The sequence below is a fragment of the Homo sapiens genome, chromosome 12 (assembly GCF_000001405.40).
Source record: "Homo sapiens chromosome 12, GRCh38.p14 Primary Assembly".
Lineage (NCBI taxonomy): Eukaryota > Metazoa > Chordata > Mammalia > Primates > Hominidae > Homo > Homo sapiens.
Window position 1 is genome coordinate 334,154 of NC_000012.12, and position 23,827 is coordinate 357,980.

Below are 23,827 nucleotides of genomic sequence, written 5' to 3' on the forward strand. Positions count from 1 at the left end.
ATAAACCTTAAAGATCAAAAACCTAGCATCATTAATCCACTAGACTTTAGTAGAGTTCATGCATGCTGTATTTTAGACTGTACATACCAGTGCAAGTAGTTGATGGAATAACTCCAGTGATCCTCAATGTGCCAGCAAAAAGAAGAGAAGCACATTCCCACATAGAGCCACGGCACTTTCATACCAGAGATGTCCACATTAATATGTGCAAGAACAGACTGTTCCAGGACAGGCATGTTATTCAAATTCCAACCAGAAAGTGCATATTCCTATAAGAGAAGAAAAAACTGTAAATGAAAGATCAGAAATGAAAAGTGCTCAATAGAAATGCCAAGGGAGTCTTCCCAGAAAATTTTTTTATAATATTTATAATAGTCTAGTGCATACAATCTGTGCTCTTTGCTATCCACTACATGTAACTCATATAACTAAACATTTAATCCTACCTTCTGTCTATGTTCTATTTAGATTTCCCTTTATTTCAGATACCTCTGGTTTACTCCAAAGCACATGAGCAATTCTTGTTATTCTCCAGCCAATCAGGAAAACAGTATGAGACCCATCTTAATACAACATCACTATTTCTATTTTATAGCCAGTAGCATAATTTCCTAAAATGTTTACTACTATATTGATAGAATGGTGCTAGATACTGTAAAGACAAAATACAATATACATAATCTTGAACTTGTGACAACAATGAAGACTGACATGATGCAGAAAGTCACCGCCATCACTCCTAACCATTATACAAACACACCTAGAAATACCGGATAAATTATAACAATAAGACTGACAGGATGCAGAAAGTCACCACCATCACTCCTAACCATTATACAAACACACCTAGAAATACCGGATAAATTATAACAATAAGACTGACAGGATGCAGAAAGTCACCACCATCACTCCTAACCATTATACAAACACACCTAGAAATACTGGATAAATTATAACAATAACCAAAAAAACTTCATAGGTGAACCCAAAAGAAAAGGGAATTCCCAGTTTCTGGAAACAGAGTGGAAGCAAGCCATAATGAAAAAGGAAGCTGTTGCAAGAGTTTTCACAGGGGCTTCTACTTGGATATTGGCACCGGAGAAGGACTTTCAAACATCCATCTCTGCAGCCATATGAGGCTATGACTTAAAGTGCTTATCATCCTTATGGAGAACAGTTCTCAAAATGGGATCCAGAGGATCCACTAAGTCAAACTATTTTCACAATAATTCTAAGACATTATTTGTCTTTTTCACTTACATTTTTGCAGGAGTACAGTGTGAGTTTTCCAGGGGAAAGATGGTATGTGCTATCATAACAGATTGAATGCAGAAGCAGATATGAGAATCTGCTATTAAAAAGTTGATAACTGAATGTGGATGTCAGGAACTGGCAGGGGTGGGGGTAGGGTCATTATTGTGCTTACTGTTTAGAAGTTTCTATAATACAAGTTAAAAATAAAAAACCCTCAAGGTAAGAAGTTAAAGAGCCAATGACAAAGCTAAAGAGAATTTGTGAACTAGAAGACATGTTTGAGGAGATTATCTATAAGGCAGCACAGAAATATATAAACTATCAAACTGTAATTAAGAGTCACAGAGAGGCGGGCTGGGCACGGTGGCTCACATCTGTAATCCCAGCACTTTGGGAGGGTGAGGTGGGTAGATGACCTGAGGTCAGGAGTTTGAGACCAGCCTGGCCAACATAGTGAAACCCTGTCTCTACTAAAAATACAAAAAATTAGCTGGGCATGGTGGCGGGCACCTGTAATCCCAGCTACTGGGGAGGCTGAGGCAGGAGAATCACTTGAACCCGGGAGGCAGAGATTGCAGTGAGCCGAGATCGCGGCATTGCACTCCAGTCTGGGCAACAAGAGCGATACTTCATCTCAAAAAAAAAAAAAAAAAAAAAAAAATAGAGAGAAGCTGGGCATGGTGGCTCATGCCTGTAATCTCAGCACTTTGGGAGGTCATGGCAGGCAGATGACTTCAGCCCAGGAATTTGAGACCAGCCTGGTCAACATGGCGGGACCCCATCTCTACAAAAAATACAAAAATTAGTCAGGCGTGGTGGCGTGCGCCTGTAGTTCCAGCTACTAGGGATGCTGAGGTGGGAGGATCCCGTGAGCCCGGGAGATTGAAGCTGTGAGCCGAGATCATGCCACTGCACTCCAGCCTGAAAGACAGAGTGAGACCCTGTCTCACTAAAAAAAAAAAAAAAAAAAGTCACAGAGGATGGAATAACAAAGTCCAACACAGGTTTAACTAAGAATTCCAATAAGAAATGACAGATCTATTCCTAAAGTTCAACAGGCTAACAAAAAAGGAAATAAAAGAATCTCAACAGGTTATTACTCAATATGTTTTGTGATTGGTTGGTCAGCTGGCTGGCTGAAAAATAGTGAATTTCATTGAAGAGACAAGGTCTACAAACAAAAAGAACACTGGGAGGCCGAAGCTGGTGGATTACTTGAGGTCAGGAGTTCGAAACCAGACTGGCCAACACCGTGAAATCCCATCACTAGTAAAAATACAAAAATCAGCCAAGCGTGGTGGTGCATGCCTGTGGCCCCAGATACTCAGGAGGCTGAGGCAGTGCTTGAACCCAGGAGGTGGAGGTTGCAGTGAGTCAAGATTGCATCACTGCACTCCAGCCTGGGCAACAGAGCGAGACTCCATCTCAAAAAAAAAAAAAAAGTTACAATACAAGGTAACATATATAAAATTCCAAATACATATAGAAGAGAAAATACAGTTCTTCAGAGGACAATAAAACAGTGATCATCATGGGTTTGGATTGTGATATGGTTTGGATTTGTGTCTCTACCCAAATCTCATGTTGAATTGGAATCCCCAATGTTGGAGGAGGGACCTGGTGGAAGGTGACCGGATCATGTGGGCAGATTTCCCCCTTGCTGTTCTCACAATAGTGAGTTCTCACGAGATCTGGTTGTTTAAAAGTGTGGGGCAACTCCCGCTTCTCTCTCTTCCTCCTGCTCTGGCCATGTAAGACGTGCCTGCTTAGCCTTCACCTTCTGCCATAATTGAAAGTTTCCCGAAGCCTCCTCAGCCATGCTACCTGTTCAGCCTGTGGAACCTGTACAGCCTCTCTTCTTTATAAATTACCCAGCCTCGAGTATTTATTTATAGCAGTACAAGAATGGACTAATAAAGATTGTTAGGAAAACTTCACAGCAAGGAAGAAATTGTGTTGAGCTTTGAAGGATAGATAAGATTTGAATAAACATTCTAGGAGGAAGAGCTACAAGAATGTAAAAGGTAAATTACAGAGAGAATATACTAGTCTAGCTGGTGAAAAGGCAGAATGGAAGAGTCATACGCAAAAACACAGGAAATAACATTAGAAAAAAAGATGAGATCTTTAATCTTAAGTTTTGGACTGAGAATCTGAGATTTATCCTATATTCAAAAGGGAAACATAAGTTTTGAAAAACGAAACAATATGATAAACATAGAATCAAATATTTCTAAACTTTTTTTTTTTTTTTTGAGACAGAGTCTCACTGTTGCCAAGGCTGGAATGTAGTGGCACAATCTCAGCTCACTGCAACCTCCACCTCCTGGGTTCAAGCGATTCTCCTGCCTCAGCCTCCCGAGTAGCTGGGATTACAGGCACCTGCCACCATGCCCGGCTAATTTTTGTGTTCTCAGTAGAGATGGGGTTTCACCATGTTGGCCAGGCTGGTCTCAAACTGCTGACCTCAAGTGATCTGCCCGCCCTGACCTCCCAAAGTGCTGAGATTACAAGCATGAGCCACCGTGCCCAGCCTATTTCTAAACTTTTAATTATGTAAAATTTCAAATGTAAACAAAAGTAGACAAAATTGCATAATAAATTCCCACTGACCCATCAATCTTTAAATGTTAAGTGAAAGCAATATATTAGAGAGACTGCAGAGAGCAGCAGTATGCACAAAGGAGTTAAACACAGCAGGCCTGAGACTGGTGTCCTTTGAAAGGCCTACTAAAAGTTTGGCCCATGGCTGGCATCTAGACACTTGAATGGTAACAATTCCCTACACTAATATAAAACTTCCCCTAAATGATAAGAGTGGCTCACAATGCCCCAGACTATTTGTACAATGTGGTTTATGCCGAACTCCTGCTTTCCTTCTAGGAGTTTGGAATTTTGGTATGTGATTCACAAAGGGTGCCCATGTCACTAGGCCCCAATAACAGCCTTCGGCACTGAGTATCTAATGAACACACATGTAAAGCACTAAACACTTTACACGTGTTGCCATAATTTGTTACTGGTGTGATTAAGCACACCCTATGTAACCCACTGAGAGAATACCCTGGGAAGCCTGTGCCTGGTTTACTCTAGACTTTGCCCATGCACTGTTTCCCTTTGCTGATTTTGTTTGAATTATTTCACTGTAATAAATCATAAGCATGAGTCCTCCCTGAATATCACTGAACCTGGGAATGGTCTTGGAGACAGCCAATACAAGATGATACTGTAGTCATACAACATCGATATACAACCACAGTATCATCTCAACATGTGATAAGGACCTAAGCAAGAATGGCTGTAGTGGGAATGCAAAGAGTCCTATCCTATAGAAAGCTTTAAAAATGAATTAACAAAATTTAGTCAATGACAATACGGAACAAGGAGGACAAGCAGAAAAAAATCTTTCCAACATTTCAAGTCCTATACTTACTTTTACTTCTCAGAAGCCCTGTTGGTAGAGCACACTATATTCATAAGACACAACTTCCGGCAGGCGCAGTGGCTCACACCTATAATCCTAACACTTTGGGAGGCCAAGGAGGGCAGATCACCTGAGGTTGGGAGTTCGAGACCAGCCTGACCAACATGGAGAAACCCCATCTCTACTAAAATACATAAGTAGCCGGGCGTGGTGGTGCGTGCCTGTAATCCCAGCTACTCGGGAGGCTGAGGCAGGAGAAACGCCTGAACCCGGGAGGCAGAGGTTGTGGTGAGCCGAGATCACACCATTGCACTCCAGCCTGGGCAACAAGAGCGAAACCCCATCTCAAAAAAAAAAAAAAAAAGATACCAGAGAGGTGTGTTACCAGATACCAAAAGGGTAACTCATATCACAGAAGCTCAACACAAATGTATAATTCCCAGTGAAAAGCTGGTAGTTATCTGCTATTTTACCAGAGTAACTTTCAGAGAGTAATAAATTTATATAAAGTATAAAAAGTTTGAAAATTTCATACACTTTGTCTAATTAGTCCCTAAAATCCTTTTGTCATAAATGGGTTCTCTCCTATCATCTTATAACAAAAACAGAGTCCTGAGTAAAACATTTTTGCTTAGAGAATAAACAGCAAATCTGCAACCCAGTCAACAAAAAAGGCTTCACTGCCTGTCTCTTAATACTTTGGTTGATGTCTTTAATGCCTGGGAATCAATGTTTCGATCTATTTAAAACTAAAAAGAGAAAAGTTTTAAACTTAGGACATTTAGCAAAATAATTCCAACAAGTTAATCCAAAAACAATTACTTAACTCAAAGAGTCACAGTTGGAAGACAAATAAAAGTTATACTAGGCCAGCTGTGCAAACACCTATGTTACATAAAAAATAATACAGGCCGCCAGCCAATACACCCTCCAACACCAATGATTCTCATCTCCTGAAATTCAGAACCTTGTATAACCTCCACCTACACCAAAGGGGACTGACCTATGTAACCAATAAGATATTGCAGATATTAAGAAGTCTGATTTTTTTTTTTTTTTTTGAGACAGGATCTCACTCTGCCACCCAGGCTGGAGTGCAGTGGCATGATCACAGGTCACTGCAGCTTCAACCTCCCCAGGCTCAAGTGATCCTCCCACCTCAGCCTCACAAGCAGCTCCAACTACAGGCGTGTGCCACCACACCCAGCTAATTTTTGTATTTATTGTAGAGACAGGGTTTCACCATGTTGCTCCCAGGATATTCTGGACCTCCTAGACTCAAAAGATCCACCTGCCTCAGCCTCCCAAAGTGCTAGGATTATGGGTGTGAGCCACTGCACCTGGCCAAAAAGTCTGACTTTTGAAGTTGGGTTATAAAAGACATTGCGACTCCATCTGGCTCTCAAAAGCCCTATGTAGAGGCCTACATAGTTAGAATCTGAGGCCTCCTGGCAACAACCTGTGAGTGAGCCATTTTGAAAGCAAATCCATTAGCCCCAGCCAAGCCTTGAAGAGACTGTATCCCATGGCAACCTCATGTGAGACTCCAAGCTAGAAGTATCATTAAAAAACTATCATTATCAGTCGGGCACAGTGGCTCACGCCTGTAATCCCAGCACTTTGGGAGGCCAAGGCGGGCAAATCATGAGGTCAGTAGTTCGAGACCAGCCTGGCCAACATGGTGAAACCCTGTCTCTACTAAAAATACAAAAAATTAGCTGGGCATGGTGGTGGGTGCCTGTAATCCCAGCTACTAGGGAGGCTGATGCAAAAGAATCACTTGAACCCGGGAGGCAGAGGTTGCAGTGAGCTGAGATCGTGCCACTGCACTCTAGCCCAGGCAACAGTGCGAGACTCCATCACAAAAAAAAAAAAAAAAAAAAAAAAACCATTAGCACAAATGCTTGACCCACAGAAACTATGAGATAATGAATATTTGTTATTCAGCCACTAAGGTTAAAAGTAATATGTTACTCAACAACAGAAAACATCAAAGAGCCAGGAACAAAACATGCATAGACCATCCATCTAATAATCACTATCAAGGTCAAAAGCTGCTCCTATCTAACAAACACACGGTTATAAGCCTGCATGTCTCCACATTCTTACATGAAGTTGGAGTAAAAGCAGAAATAGATAAATGAGTATGTTTTCATAAAATTCATACAAAATTCAATAATGGAGGCAGGATTACTATTTACATTCTTAATATTAGTTACTTAGGGTTGATACAAAATAATCTTTAAAAATTCTGTGATCTGTAAAACCTCAGAAAATGTAAATATCTGCTCAAGAACAATTTAAAAATTCAGAACAGAAAATTCAGAAAAAGGCAAAAGCTAAAAAATGAAGTCTCTCTCTAATAATGAGATCACTACCTTCCATTTGCCAATGGAAGGGTGTGAAGACATTCAGGCTGATACATTTCTTTATAGATACTTATACAAACAGGTTTAAAATTCAGTGACATTAAACATGTATACATTCCAACATTGAACTGTTCCTATAAAAACCATCCCCATATAATCTAGGTTCTCCATCCTGTTATAATCATTCTCTTTCTCCCTTGGTAAATCCCAAAGTCTATTCTCTAATCAATATTATCCTAACTTTGTTATCCTAACTTGTGGTCTACCATGACAAGAGGGAAAAAAAAAATCAGTAACATGAGGATAGAACCAAATAACACTAAAAACTAAATCACAAACACACAGCCAAAAAAACCAGAATAATTAGATTGTTATAACTAAAAATAGCTAACACCAAAAGGCCATAATAGAGAAATGGAGGCTGGGTGTGGTGGTTTACATCTCTAATCCCAGCACTTTGGGAGGCCAAGGTGAGCGAATCACGAGGTCAGGAGCTCGAGACCAGCTGGGCCAACATGGTGAAACCTCATCTCTGCTAAAAATACAAAAATTAGCTGGGTGTGGTAGTGGGCACCTGTAATCCCAGCTACTCAGGAGACTGGGGTAGGAGAACTGCTTGAACCTGGGAGGTGGAGGCTGCAGTGAACCAAGATGGTGCCACTGTACTCCAGCCGGGCAACAGGGCAAGACTCTGTCTCCAAAAAAAAAAAAAGAGAGAGAGAGAAATGGGGGGAAAAAAAGACATGGGACACAGAAAACAGCAAAATGGGAGACATAAATCAACCATAGCAATAATTACATTAAACGTAAACAGACTAAACAATCAAAAAGCAACTGTCAGCTTAGGAAAAAAAGCAAGATCCAATTATATGCTATCTACAAGAGACACACTTCAGATTCTGAGACACAAACAGCTTCAAAATAAAAGAATGGAAAAAGATACACCAAGCAAACAGTAACCATAATAAAGCTACAGGGGCTATACTTTTATTTATATATCCTCTGTACTATGCAACTTTATCATGTGCAACTCTTTTAACAGGAGATAAATTATTGCCAATTATAGGGGGAAAGAAAAAGTGTCAAGAATCAAAGTAAAGAGAAAAGAAATGAATTACCATCTCAATTCAGCTTTACAAATACAGGTCATCTCCTACGTGATAGAACTGTATGTATATGTTACACTTTAAACACATATTTGACAATCTACCCACTCAGGTGTTGAAGGAAACTTATTTCTGGACCTACCAATAAAATGTGTTTTTTTTTTCCTCTTGGAGACAGAGTCTTGCTCTGTCGCCCAGGCTGGAGTGCAGTGGCATGATCTCGGCTCACTGCAACCTCCGCCTCCCACGTTCAAGTGATTCTCCTGCCTCAGCCTCCAGAGTAGCTGGGATTACAGGCAAGCGCCACCACGCCCAGCTAATTTTTGTATTTTTTTAGTAGAGACAGGGTTTCACCATGTTGGCCAGCCTGGTCTCTAACTACTGACCTCAAGTGATTCACCTGCCTCGGCCTCCCAAAGGGCTCGAATTACAGGCATGGGCCACCGTGCCTGGCCTAAAATGTGATTTAAAAAAAAAAAAAAAAAAACCTGGGGAGGGGCGTTCCAAGATGGCCAAATAGGAACAGCTCCGGCCTACAGCTTCCAGCGTGCTCAACGCAGAAGACGGGTGATTTCTGCATTTCCAACTGAGATACCTGGATCATTCACTGGGACTGCTTGGACAGTGGGTGCAGCCCACAGAGGGCTAGCTGAAGCAGGGCGTGCATCACCTCACCCTGGAAGAACAAGGGGTCAGAGGATTTCCCTTTCCTAGCCAAGGGAAGCCATGACAGACTACCTGGAAAAACGAGGCACTCCCGCCCAAATACTGCAATTTTCCCAAGGTCTTAGCAACTGGCAGACAAGGTGATTCTCTCCCATGCCTGGCTCCGCAGGTCCCACACCCACAGAGCCTTGCTCACTGCTAGCGCAGCAGTCTGAGATCAATCTGCTGAGGCAGCAGCCTGGCTGGGGGAGGGGCGTCCACCATTGCTGAGGCTTGAGTAGGTAGAAAAAGCACCCTGGAAGCTCAAACTGGGTGGAGCCCACGGCAGCTCAACAAGGCCTACTGCCTCTAGACTCCACCTCTCTGGGCAGGGCATGGCTGAACAAAAGGCAGCAGACAACTTCTGCAGACTTAAACATCCCTGTCTGACAGCTCTGAAGAGAGCACGGCATTTCACCTCTGAGAATGGACAGACTGCCTCCTCGAGTAGGTCCCTGACCCTCATGTAGCCTAACTGGGAGACACCCCTAGTAGGGGCCAACAGACACTTCATATAGACAGCTGCCACTCTGGGACGAAGCTTCCACAGGAAGCATCAAGCAGCAATATTTGCTGTTCTGCAGCCTCCACTGGTGATACCCAGGCAAACAGGGTCTGGAATGGACCTCCAACAAACTCCAACAGATCTGCAGCTGAGGGTCCTGACTGTTAGAAGGAAAACTAACAAACAGAAAGGAATAGTATCAACATCAACAAAAAGGTCATCTATACCAAAACCCCATCTGTAGATCACCAACATCAAAGACCAAAGGTAGATAAAACCACAAAGATGGGGAGAAACCAGAGCAGAAAAGCTGAAAATTCTAAAAATCAGAGTGCCTCTTCTCCTCCAAAGGATGGCAGCTCCTTGCCAGCAATGGAACAAAGCTGGATGGAGAATGACTGATGAGTTGACAGAAGTAGGGTTCAGAAGGTCAGTAAAAACAAACTTCTCCGAGCTAAAGGAGGATGTTCAAACCCATCGCAAGGAAGCTAAAAACCTTGAAAAAAGATTAGACAAATCGCTAACTAGAATAAACAGTGTAGAGAAGACCTTAAATGACCTGATGGAGCTGAAAACCATGGGACGAGAACTTCATTACACATGCACAAGCTTCAATAGCCAATTTGATCAAGTGGAAGAAAGGGTATCAGTGATTGAAGATCAAATTAATGAAATAAAGTGAGAGGACAAGGTTAGAGAAAAAAGAGTAAGAAGAAACAAACAAAGCCTCCAATAAATATGGGACTATGTGAAAAGACCAAATCTACATTTGATTGGTGTACCTTAAAGTGATGGGGAGGATGAAACCCAGTTGGAAAACACTCTTCAGGATATTATCCAGGAGAACTTCCCCAACCTAGCAAGGCAGGCCAACATTCAAATTCAGGAAATACAGAGAACACCACAAAAATACTCCTTGAGAAGAGCAAACCCAAGACACATAATTGTCAGATTCACCAACGCTGAAATGAAGGAAAAAGTGTTAAGGGCAGCCAGAGAGAAAGGTCAAGTTACCCACAAAGGGAAGCCCATCAGACTAACAGCGGATCTCTCGGCAGAAACCCTACAAGCCAGAAGAGAGTGGGGGCCAATATTCAACATTCTTAAAGAAAAGAATTTTCAACTCAGAATTTCATAGCCAGCCAAACTAAGCCTCATAAGTGAAGGAGAAATAAAATCCTTTACAGACAAGCAAATGCTGAGAGATTTTGTCACCACCAGGCCTGCCTTACAAGAGCTCCTGAAGGAAGCACTAAACATGGAAGGGAACAACTGGTACCAGCCACTGCAGAAACAAGCCAAATTGAAAAGACCATCAATGCTATGAAGAAACTGCATCAATTCATGGGCAAAATAACCAGCAAACATCATAATGACAGGATCAAATTCACACATAGCAACATTAACCTTAAATGTAAATGGGCTAAATGCCCCAATTAAAAGACATAGACTGGCAAATTGGAAAAAGAGTCAAGACCCATCAGTGTGCCGTATTCAGGAGACCCATCTCACGTGCAAAGACGCACACAGGCTCAAAATAAAGGGACGGAGGAAGATCTACCAAACAAATAGAAAGCAAAAAAAAAAGCACGGGTTGCAATCCCAGTCTCTGATAAAACAGACTTTGAACCAACAAAGATCTAAAGAGACAAGGAAGGCCATTACATAATGGTAAAGGGATGAATTCAACAAGAAGAGCTAACTATCCTAAATATATATGCACCCAATACAGGAGCACCCAGATTCCTAAAGCAAGTCCTTAGAGACCCACAAAGAGACTTAGACTCCCACACAATGATAATGGGAAACTTTAACAACCCACTGTCAATATTAGATAGATCAATGAGACACAGGTTAACAAGGATATCCAGGACCTGAATTCAGCTCTGCAAAAAGCAGACCTAATAGACATCTACAGAACTCTCCACCCCAAAGCAACAGAATATACATTCTGCTCAGCACATTGCACTTATTCTAAAATTGACCACATAATTGGAAGTAAAGCACTCCTCAGCAAATGAAAAAGAACAGAAATCATAACAAACTGTCTCTCAGACCACAGTGCAATCAAATTAGAACTCAGGATTAAGAAACTCAAATCAAAACCGCACAACTACATGGAAACTTAACAACCTGCTCCTGAATGACTACTGGGTAAATAACGAAATGAAGGCAGAAATAAAGATGTTCTTTGAAACAAATGAGAACAAAAACACAACATACCAGAATCTCTGGGACACATTTAAAGCAGTGTGTAGAGGGAAATTTATAGCACTAAATGCCCACAAGAGAAAGCAGGAAAGATCTAAAATGGACATCCTAACATCACAATTAAAAGAACTAGAGAAGCAAGAGCAAGCAAATTCAAAAGCTAGCAGAAGGCAAGAAATAACTAAGATCAGAGCAGAACTGAAAGACAGAGAGACACAAAAAACCTTCAAAACATCAATTAAATCCAGGACCTGGTTTTTTGAAAAGATCAACAAAATTGATAGACCACGAGCAAGACTAATAAAAAAGAAAGGAGAGAAGAATCAAATAGATGCAATAAAAAATGATAAAGGGGATATCACCACCAATCCCACAGAAATACAAACTACCATCAGAGAATACTATAAACACCTCTACACAAATAAACTAGAAAATCTAGAAGAAATGGATAAATTCCTGGACACATACACTCTCCCAAGACTAAACCAGGAAGAAGTTGAATCTCTGAACAGACCAATAGCAGGCTCTGAAATTGAGGCAATAATAGCCTACCAAACAAAAAAAGTCCAGGACCAGATGGATTCACAGCCAAATTCTACCAGAGGTACAAAGAGGAGCTGGTACCATTCCTTCTGAAACTATTCCAAGCAATAGAAAAAGACGGAATCCTCCCTAACTCATTTTATGAGGCCAACATCATCCTGATACCAAAGCCTGGCAGAGACACAACAAAAAAAGAGAATTTTAGACCAATATCCCTGATGAACATCGATGTGAAAATCCCCAATAAAATATTGGCAAACCGAATCCAGCAGCACGTCAAAAAGCTTATTATTCACCACAATCGAGTTGGCTTCATCCCCGGGATGCAAGGCTAGTTCAACATACTCAAATCGATAAACGTAATCCATCACATAAACAGAACCAATGACAAAAACTACATGATTATCTCAATAGATGCAGAAAAGGCCTTTGACAAAATTCAACAACCTTCATGCTAAAAACTCTCAATAAACGAGGTATTGATGGAATGTATCTCAAAATAATAAGAGCTATTTATGACAAACCCACAGCCAATATCATACTGAATGGGCAAAAGCTGGAAGCATTCCCTTTGAAAACCAGCACAAGAGAAGGATGTCTTCTCTCACCACTCCTATTCAACATAGTGTTGGAAGTTCTGGCCAGGGCAATCAGGCAAGAGAAAGAAATAAAGGGTATTCAATTAGGAAAAGAGGAAGTCAAATTGTCCCTGTTTGCAGATGACATGACTGTATATTTAGAAAATCCCATCATCTCAGCCCAAAATCTCCTTAAGCTGATAAGCAACTTCAGCAAAGTCTCAGCATACAAAATCAATGTGCAAAAATCACAAGCATTCTTATATATCATTAACAGACAAACAGCCAAATCATGAGTGAACTCCCATTCACAATTGCTACAAAGAGAATAAAACACCTAGGAATCCAACTTACAAGAGATATGAAGGACCTCTTCAAGGAGAACTACAAACCACTGCTCAACGAAATAAAAGAGGACACAGCAAATGGAAGAATATTCCATGCTCATGGATAGGAAGAATCAATATAGTGAAAATGGCCATATTGCCCAAAGTAATTTATCCATTCAACGCCATCCCCATCAAGCTACCAATGGACTTTCTTCACAGAATTGGAAAAAACTACTTTAAAGTTCATATGGAACCAAAAAAGAGCCCGCATTGCCAAGATAATCCTAAGCAAAAAGAACAAAGCTGGAGGCATCACACTACCTGACTTTAAACTATACTACAAGGCTACAGTAACCAAAACAGCATGGTACTGGTACCAAAACAGAGACATAGACCAATGGAACAGAACAGAGCCCTCAGAAATAACACCACATATCCACAACCATCTCATCTTTGACAAACCTGACAAAAACAAGAAATGGGGAAAGGATTCCCTATTTAATAAACGGTCCTGGGAAAACTGGCTAGCCACATGTAGAAAGCTGAAACTGGATCCCTTCCTTACACCTTATACAAAAATTAATTCAAGATGGATTAAAGACTTAAATGTTAGACTTAAAACCATAAAAACCCTAGAAGAAAACCTAGGCAATACCATTCAGGACACAGGCATGGGCAAGGACTTCATGACTAAAACACCAAAAGCAATGGCAACAAAAGCCAAAATAGACAAATGGGATCTAATTAAACTGAAGAGCTTCTGTACAGCAAAAGAAACTACCATCAGAGTAAACAAGCAACCTACAGAAGGGGAGAAAATTTTTGCAATCTATCCATCTGACAAAGGGCTAATATCCAGAATCTACAAAGAACTCAAACAAATTTACAAGAAAAAAACAAACAACCCCATCAAAAAGTGGGCAAAGGATATGAACAGACACTTCTCAAAAGAAGACATTTATGCAGCCAACAGACACATGAAAAAATGCTCATCATCACTGGCCATCAGAGAAATGCAAATCAAAACCACAATGAGATACCATCTCACACCAGTTAGAATGGCGATCATTAAAAAGTCAGGAAACAGGTGCTGGAGAGGATGTGGAGAAATAGGAACACTGTTACACTGTTGGTGGGACTGTACACTAGTTCAACCATTGTGGAAGTCAGTGTGGCGATTCCTTAAGGATCTAGAAGTAGAAATACCATTTGACCCAGCCATCCCATTACTGGGTATATACCCAAAGGATTACAAATCATGCTACTGTAAAGACACGTTCACACGTATGTTTATTGCGGCAGTATTCACAATAGCAAAGACTTGGAACCAACCCAAATGTCCATCAATGATAGACTGGATTAAGAAAACGTGGCACATATACACCATGGAATATTGTGCAGCCAGAAAAAACGATGAGTTCATGTCCTTTGCAGGGACATGGATGAAGCTGGAAACCATCATTCTCAGCAAACTATCACAGGGATAGAAAACCAAAAACCACGTGTTCTCACTCATAGGTGAGAAGTGAACAATGAGATCACTTGAACACAGGGCGGGGAACATCACACACTGGGGCCTGTCAGGGGGTGGGGGGCTGGAGGAGGGATAGCATTAGGAGAAATACCTAATGTAAATGAGCTGATGGGTGCAGCAAATCAACATGGCACATGTATACCTATGTATGAAACCTGCATGTTGTGCACATGTACCCTAGAACTTAAAGTGTAATAAAATAAAAAATTAAAAAAAAAAAACCTTATGGTGTCAAACTCGTTATAGGGGGAAAAAACACGCATTCAGTGAGGTGAGTTGAAGAAAAGAAAAAAAAAATCAGCTTCTAGACTTTTTTTTTTTTTTTTGAGATACTGTTTCACCCTCGTTGCCCAGGCTGGAGTGCAATGGCGCAATCTCGGCTCACTGCAACCTCTGCCTCCTGGATTCAAGTGATTATCCTGCCTTAGCCTCCCAAGTAGCTAGGATTACAGGCATGTGCCACCACGCCCAGTTAATTTTTTATATTTAGTAGAGACGGGGTTTCACCATGTTGGTCAGGCTGGTCTCAAAATCCTGACTTCAGGTGATCCACTGGCCTCGGCCTCCCAAAGTGCTGGGATTACAGGTGTGAGCCCCCGCGCCCAGCCATCTTCTAGACTTTTTTTTTTTTTTTTTTGAGACGGAGTCTCGCTCTGTCACCCAGGCTGGAGTGCAGTGGCATGATCTCAGCTCACTGCAACCTCCGCTTCCCAGGTTCAAGCAATTCTCTGCCTCAGCCTCCTGAGTAGCTGGGATTACAGGCGCCCACCACCATACTCGGCTAATTTTTGTATTTTTAGTAGAGACGTGGTTTCACCATCTTGGCCAGGCTGGTCTTGAACTCCTGACCTCGTGATCCACCCACCTCGGCCTCACAAAGTGCTGGGATTACAGGCGTGAGCCACCACGCCCATCCTGGATTTTATAACAGAAAGAACTAGGCAAAAATATTAAACTGGAGTTAAAATTTTGAACTAATTAAATTAGCTTTTTTTTTTTTCCTTTTTTTTAAGAGACAGGTTTTTCTTCTGTCACTCCTGGCTTCAGGCAACCTTTCCACCTTGGCCTCTCAAAGTTCTGGGATTACAGGTGTGAGTCATTGCACTCAGCTTAAATTAGTTTTAAAATGCAGAGCTGGCCGGGCGCAGTGACTCACGCCTGTAATCCCAGCACTCTGGGAGGCCGAGACAGGGGATCACCTGAGGTCGGGAGTTCGAGACCAGCCTGACCAACATGGAGAAACCCCATCTCTACTAAAAATACAAAATTAGCTGGGCGTGGTGGTGCATGCCTGTAATCCCAGCTACTTGGGAGGTTGAGGCAGGGGAATCGCTTGAACCCGGGAGGTGGAGGTTGCAGTGAGCCAAGATCGTGCCACTACACTCTAGCAGGGGCGACAGGAACAAAACTCCTCTCAAAGGAAAAAAAAAATGCTGAGTTAATGGCCAGGCACAGTGGCTCACGCCTGTAATCCCAGCACTTTGGGAAGCCGAGGCAGGCAGATCACCTGAGGTCAGGAGTTCAAGACCATCCTGTCCAACATGGTGAAACCCTGTCTCTACAAAAATACAAAAATTAGCCGGGCATAATAGCGGGTGCCTGTAATACCAGCTACTCGGAAGGCTGAGGCAAGAGAATTGCTTGAACCCAGGAGGTGGAGGTTGCGGTGAGCTAAGCTCGCGCTCCAGCCTAGGTGACAGAGTGAGATTCCTTCTCAAAAAAAAAAAAAAAAAAAGAGTTAAATAATTTTTCAAAGTATTCTGAATTCTTCGTTTTCAAAACTGAAGATTATTTATACTGCCAAATCCTACGTATTTAATATTTTAAGTTAATGTGATCCCTTAAGATAGTTTTCAATGCAAAAGCTAAATCAGCTTGGGGGTAAGCAAAAGTTTGGATAAATCTGCACCTCTTCTTCTGGCAGAATCTTTCTCCGCCCATCCTTCACCGGAAATCCACTTCCAAAGTCTTTTGAGGAGATATCTGCTCCATATTCCACAATAACATCTTCTTCAATGCTGCTTACCAGCCGCCAAAATTCCTTTTCTACTAGTTCTGTGGGAACCATCTACACAGGGAAAAAAAAGATGACAAATTATTAAACCACTATAACTATAACCCATATAACATAATACACAGGATCAAGTAAACACAAACCCATGATGAGATTAAAAATCTTCTGATTCCCTAGAGCAGTAAAGACCGAGATCCTAGCTTTTTCCAATGAGAACAGGGAAAAGCTGAGACAACTCGGACGTTCAGAAAAACATAATGAACTGTGCTGCCCTTTTCCGAAAGAAACTGTTTCCCAAGTACGGACAAAGATGAACTAGGAAATCAAGGAGGAACAAGGAAATGTAAACAGCAAGATTAAATTTTTTTAATAGCTTCTATTTTATGCCTTTTATGATTTTAACACAAAATTTCATTTTCTTTTTGTTTTTAATTATACTTTAAGTTCTACATTGGGTATTTCTCCTAATGCTATCCCTCCCCTAGCCCCCTACTCCCGGACAGGCCCCGGTGTGTGATGTTCCCCTTCCTGTGTCCGTGTGTTCTCATTGTTCACCTCCCACTTATGAGTGAGAACGTGGGGTGTTTAGTTTTCTGCTCCTGTGTTAGTTTGCTGGAAATGATGGTTTCCAGCTTCATCCATGTCCCTGCAAAGGACATGAACTTATCCTTTTTTATGACTGCATAGTATTCCATGGTATATATGTGCCACATTTTCTTCATCCAGTCTATCATTGATGGGCATCTGGGTTGGTTTCAAGTCTTTAAAGCAACACTAGATTTTAATAACTATAGCAAATTTTTTTGACAGGGACTAAAAAAGCCTAAGATATCCTAGGAAAAGAAGCAAACCCCACAGTAAAAATAACTAAAGAAAAGCAGCAACTGCCCAATACTTTACGCTTTTCTGTAAAGGATTACTCATACAGGGCTAAAATAACAATTCAAGCATCAAAATAGACAGCTGGGCGTGGTGGCTCACATCTGTAATCCCAACACTTTGGGAGGCCAAGGCAGGCAGATCACTTGAGGTCAGGAGATCGAGACCAGCCTGGGCGACAGAGTGAAATCCCGTCTCTATTAAAAATACAAAAATTGGCTGGGCGCAGTGGTTCATGGCTATAATCCCAGAACTTTGGGAGGCCGAGGCGAGTGGATAACCTGAGGTCAGGAGTTCAAGACCAGCCTGACCAATATGGTGAAACCCCATCTCTACTAAAAACACAAAAATTAGCTGGGTATGGTGGCAGGCGCCTGCAGTCCCAGCTACTCGGGAGGCTGAGGCAGGAGAATTACTTGAACCTGGGAGGCAGAGGTTGCAGTGAGCCGAGATTGTGCCACTGCACTCCAGCCTGGGCGACAAAGCAAGACTCCGTCTCAAAAAAAAAAAAAAAAAAAAAAAAAAAGAGGAAACTGAAGGCTTTGTACTCAGGTAAATCTTTGTACCTCCCCGGACCGACCTAAAAGATAGCTTACTCACATGGACTGGCATATTAAAATAATCAGACTTAAAATTATCTGCCATCTCTCCAAAGCTCTGAAGTGTATACTCTCGTACAGCTTGTTCAAATCCAAAGGCTTCTCGAGGTTTGCTACATTCCTGGAAAGAAAAAATATGTAAGATTAACTTACTGAAACTAAACTGAAGAAAGCTTTAAGGCTCTTAGTTACTAAATTCTTTGATCATTTCCCTAGGTAAAGTAAATCCAGTCAACCCTAGACAACAAAACAAATATCAGCTACTTACAATACCGTATCAGGAAGTTATTTTCTAGAGCCTCAACTTCACTGTCACAGCCTTCCAATAGGAAGGTAGTACTAAGATGGCTTTAGATCCAGAGGTAGCATTAAGTTCTGGCACTAAGACAAGCATCTAAAGGACTACTGACTTGGAATCATGCCTAGGGATGCCTAACATTCTTGGCATACCCAGTGGTTTTGGCCATGGAGGAAACAAATGTTCATGGAGGAAGGAAAGGTAATGGATAAGGGGATAGCCACTGGATTGTGAGGATATCAGACTAAGAGAATAGTTTGTTCACACTGCCAATCACTATGACCAATGTCTTAACACAAATACTCACTTAGAGTAGAACTGCCTCTGAATCTTTCAACCTGGAGAATAGTAAATAAGTGATAATTCAAAGGCCATAAAAGACCTTTGAATGCATTTACATACACCCAGCTAACTCCTTCTCTTTAATGTCCTATCACAGCATTTTGTTAAAATAAGTAAACAGACAAGGCATTTCACGACAATGACAACACTGTAAGCTTTCACTAAGAAAAATTTAGCACAGTCAAGTAAAAATTGGGGCAAGCTAAAAGATACCATCAGGGCCCGGCACAGTGGCTCGTGTCTGTAATCCCAGCACTTTGGAAGGTCAAGGCAGGTGGACCACTTGAGTCCAGGAGTTTAGACCAGCCTGGCCAACATGGTAAACCTTGTCTCTACAAAAAATACAAAAATTAGCTGGGCGTGGTGGCATACATCTGTAGGGAGGCTGAGCTGGGAGTATCACCTGAGCCCAGAAGCCAGAGGCTGCAGTGAGCTGAGACCGCGCCACTGCACTGCAGACTGAGCGAGAGGCTGTAGACCGTCTCAAAAAAGTAAATAAATAAATACTAAATAAATAAAAGATACCGTCAGTTTATTTAATAGCATGAAATTGGATGCATAAATCCCAAGTTCTACAGCTTCATGTCTAGTTATACTTTAATTAATAGAGAAAAAACTATGTTTTTCTTCATTTTTATTGTTGCCCAGCAATATTTATTCTAAGTCAAGTCTCATTATCTGCAGCAATAAACAGAATGACCTAACCAACAGTTAGAAAAAGAATCTTTGAAAGGCAAGCTACCACAATACAATTGTTACATTTCCATTCAATATAGATATTTTAAGTCCTGGAAATTGGCCAGGCATGGTGGCTCAAGCCTGTAATCCCAGCACTCTGGGAAGCCGAGACAGGCAGATTACGAGGTCAAGAGACCGAGACTATCCTGGCCAACATGGTGAAACCATGGTCTCTACTAAAAATACAAAAATTAGCTGGGCGTGGTGGCTCGCGCCTGTAGTCCCAGCTACTTCGGAGGCTGAGGCAGGAGAATCACTTGAACCCGGGAGGTGGAGGTTGCAGTGAGCTGAGATCACACCATTGCATTCCAGCCTGGCGACAGAGTGAGACACCATCTCAAAAAAAAAAAAAAAAGTCCTGGAAATTTTAAACACTACATAATGAAGACAGAATGACAAAAGGAAACATATTTGGGAATATGTTTATATGTAGGTGTATATGCATGTATTATTATTTTTAGTTAAAAAAGGATCCATAGAGGTTAGACGTGTACCTCGGCGACACATTTAGGACACCTCCAGTCTCCTTTGGGCACATCAGGTAGTGGAGGAATTAGACAAAATGTATGATAGCTGTCATCACATCCATCACACAAAAGCAATTTATCTTCATTGTTTCCCCGACCACAAAACATACAAACATAGAGATCAACCTGTTAAAAAAAAAATAAATGAAAGTCTATTTTCTATAATAAATAATAAATTTTTACCAGGAACTCCTTAGCTGAAATAAACAAAATAATGCAACTGAAAAGTAAACATAACTTAAATCCTGAATGTCTATTTCAAGTAATTGTATTTAAACAGCTTTTCATAAAACTCCCTAAATTTCCTTCCAGAGTTTTTACAAGCAAGTTAATAGCAAGTTAATAAAGGTGTATCAAGTTGTTAGAATAAAGACTACAGGCCAGGCACAGTGGCTCACGCCTGTAATCCCAGCACTTTGGGAGCCACAGTGGGCAGATCACGAGGTCAGGAGATTGAGACCATCCTGGCTAACACAGTGAAACCCCGTCTCTACTAAAAATACAAAAAATTAGCCAGGCATGGTGGCAGGTGCCTGTAGTCCCAGCTACTCGGGAGGCTGAGGCAGGAGAATGGCATGAGCCCGAGAGGTGGAGCTTGCAGTGAGCCGAGATCGCACCACTGCACTCCAGCCTGGGCAACAGCAAGACTCCGTCTCAAAAAAAAAAGGAAAGACTACAAATCTAGGGCATTTGAAAATCAATTTACATGTATTTTTAAAAATACCATGTCCTTCTTCCCATATACAAATCCTCTTTGATAGAGAATGAATACTGAGACTGTCTATAATAGAACTCAACGACTTACACAGATTCATTTTCATGCTCTCACTTGGTTCCCCATAAGGTGTATGACTTACAGGAAGCAGCCTACGTATGTAGGACAGAGCCAGGTTAACAACATAAACAAAAGCTGTAACTTCACAGATGTGCCATCAAGTCTTCTAACCAAACGAGCTAACTAAACACATACCATGATATATCAGGATAGAAAGTGCAAAACTATAATAAAAATAAATCCTTTCCCTCCTGACAGACCCCAAAACACTTACAAAGTTAACAGAGAGAGTGCCTTTCCGTTGTCTCATTTGCATGTTAAATGCGTCTGACCTGTTGGTAACTTTTCGTCTTCGGGTGACCTCATCTTGAAATAAAAAGTTACACAATAATAGTAAAAACCAATGTTGAGAGCTTACTATGGACCAGACACTATTTAAAATTATTTAAATTAGTTAAAATCTTACAACTGTTTATCTAGAGGTAGATATACTATTTATTATCTCTCACTGAAGATGAAGAACCTGAGGTACAGCAAAGTTAGTAACTTGCTCAAAATCATACAGCAAGGCAAATTTAAGATTCTAATCCAGTCACGTAAGATCCAGAGAGCTTACCCATTAATGTTGTATGTGTATGCAGTACGTACTACATACAACCTGCAGGTATTACTTGGAGGAACTCCCAAATTAGGGACTAATTTCTAAGACTGTTGACAGCCAATACTATAATTACAAGAGTAACAAAAATAAAGTACTTAATTCTTAAAAAGGAAATATTATTATTACAATGTATTTAGTAAGTCTTATTACATGGGATGTTTTAAGAGAGATGGAACAATATTATTTAATCTTCTAGAGTTCAGTCCACTATCTGAATTGTATGACTTTACACATCTAAGTACACAGTAATTAGTCTTTGTGACTGTAGCATTTCATTAAGTTCTCATATAGTCAAAACATATCCAGCCTAATCTTTGTTAAACAGTTTTATAATTGACATGTTACATAGAGAGAACAGTGGAACTTGATCTTTGCATGAGCAGTCCTACTGACAAAAAACTTCCAAACGTGAAGCCGAGAGTAACAGACTTACTAAAGAAAACAGTTTATTCAAATGAACTGACATAATATATCAAGGGCAATTACTTTAAAAATTAAAATTATGGTTAGAATTTTAAAATTCTAAACTTCTCCCAGTGTATGTCGATACTAAGAGTTACAAGCTTTAGCTCACGAGGTAAGAACCATTAATTCCATCATTCTCTCATAAACCAGCCTTCAGAAACTGCAATAAATTTGTGTGTCATATATTACACAGAGAAGGAAAATCCTCTCTTCCAAAATCATAAAAATTCAACATAACATTGCTCTTCACACCTGAAATTTAAGAGATCTGGCATTAAAAAAGGCGATTTGCCTAGGAACCACATTGCGATTTTACAATTCTTAAGAAATTCCCAGCACAGACTGCAATTCAAGTATCATTTGAGTTTTTTTACAATCATATTCTACCTTATCTCTTTTCATGATCAAACAACAAATTTTACCTTCTTTATCTTTTGTTCCCATTGCCAAGCCCACAACCTTGGGCCCAGCCCCAAAAATCTGAAGTTTCTTCAGTTCCGTGTTTCTACTCACATCTCCAGATTCTGACTAAAAAATAAGCAAAATTCACATTAGCATAATCATGCTGATTCATGCATTAATTTTTTTACCCAAGGAAAGTTTCAGAATCCTCTTCAACACGGAAGAACAAATTATTGGATTTCTTTTCTGTAAATCCACTCACTGCCTCATTACCACAGTTGAAAACGGTCACCAAAACACCATTCAACACCCAGATTCCTTTCCACAAAATAAAACTCGTGTATGACTCATAAAAGCATAGTTCTCAAGCTGTCTAAAGACAGACACTGCTGGTTATCACACAATAGAAATCCCCACTTCTAACTTCCTACCGGACACCTGTATTTGATTAGAGGGCATCTCAGGACATGAACTGTGACTGTCCTAAGCCAATCACACTAACCTCATTTTTCTTTGTTGGTGATGACATTAAAAAATTGTACTGGAAGCCCCTGGGAAAGACTGCCATCTTCTAATAAAAGGCGAATGGCCAGACACAATGGCTCACACCTGTAATCCCAACACATTGGAAGGCCAAGGCAGGTGATCATTTGAGCTCAGGAGTTACAGACCAGCCTGGACAACACAGGGGAGACCCCATCTCTACAAAAAGTACAAAAATTAGCCAGGCATGGTGGTGTGCATCTGTAGTCCCAGCTACTTGGGAGGCTGAGGCTGGAGATCACTTGAGTTTGAGAGGTTGAGGCAGTGAGGCGAGATCACGCTGCTGCACTCCACCCTGGGTGACAGACAAGCGAGACCCTGAATCAATCCATCAATGGGAAAGCTTCTCCCAGCCTGGGCAACATAGTGACCCCCGTTTCTACCAAAAAAAAAAAAATTAGCTGGGCATGTTGGCACACACCTGAAGTCCTAGCTACCCAGGAGACTGAGGCAGGAAGATCACTTGAAGCCCTGGAGTTCAAGGCTGCAGCAAGCCATGATTGTCCTACCACACCCCAGCCTGGGTGACACAAAAAGACCCTGTCTTTAAAAAAAAAAAGAGGAAAGCATCTTAAAGAATAAGTCCTTCTGGAGGCTGGGCACGGTGGCTCATGCCTGTAATCCCAGCACTTTGGGAGGCCGAGGCGGGCGGATCACAAGGTCAGGAGTTCTAAACCAGCCCGCCCAATATGGTGAAACCCCGTCTCTACTAAAAATACAAAAATTAGCCAGGCATGGTGGCGCACGCCTATAGTCCCAGCTACTTGGGAGGCTGAAGCAGAAGAATTACTTGAACCCAGGAGGTGGAGGTTGCAGTGAGCTGAGATTGCACCACTGCACTCCAGCCTGGGCGACAGAGCAAGACTCAGTCTCAAAAAAAAAAAAAAAAAAAAAAAAAAAGCCCTTTTGCCCCAATTCCCTTCCTTCCTGCTAAAGGACTCCGTCTGGTGAAAACATGGTGCTAGACTCTGCAACAGCCATACTACAACTGGGAGGAAATTTATCACCCACACACCGAAGAAAGCA

The 23,827-nt window shown here is 41.2% G+C and overlaps 1 protein-coding gene across 1 annotated transcript in view; it reads right to left on the minus strand.

Moving 5' to 3' along the window:
- Positions 1–23,827, minus strand: part of KDM5A (lysine demethylase 5A) — a 109,264-nt gene that overhangs the window by 54,097 nt on the left and 31,340 nt on the right. The window contains exons 6-11 of the mRNA NM_001042603.3: positions 22,279–22,384; positions 21,005–21,096; positions 19,923–20,081; positions 18,052–18,171; positions 16,468–16,626; positions 88–269 (exon numbers count right to left, since the gene is read on the minus strand). Coding sequence (NP_001036068.1) covers positions 88–269; positions 16,468–16,626; positions 18,052–18,171; positions 19,923–20,081; positions 21,005–21,096; positions 22,279–22,384 — 818 coding nt within the window. The remainder of the gene's footprint in view (positions 1–87; positions 270–16,467; positions 16,627–18,051; positions 18,172–19,922; positions 20,082–21,004; positions 21,097–22,278; positions 22,385–23,827) is intronic.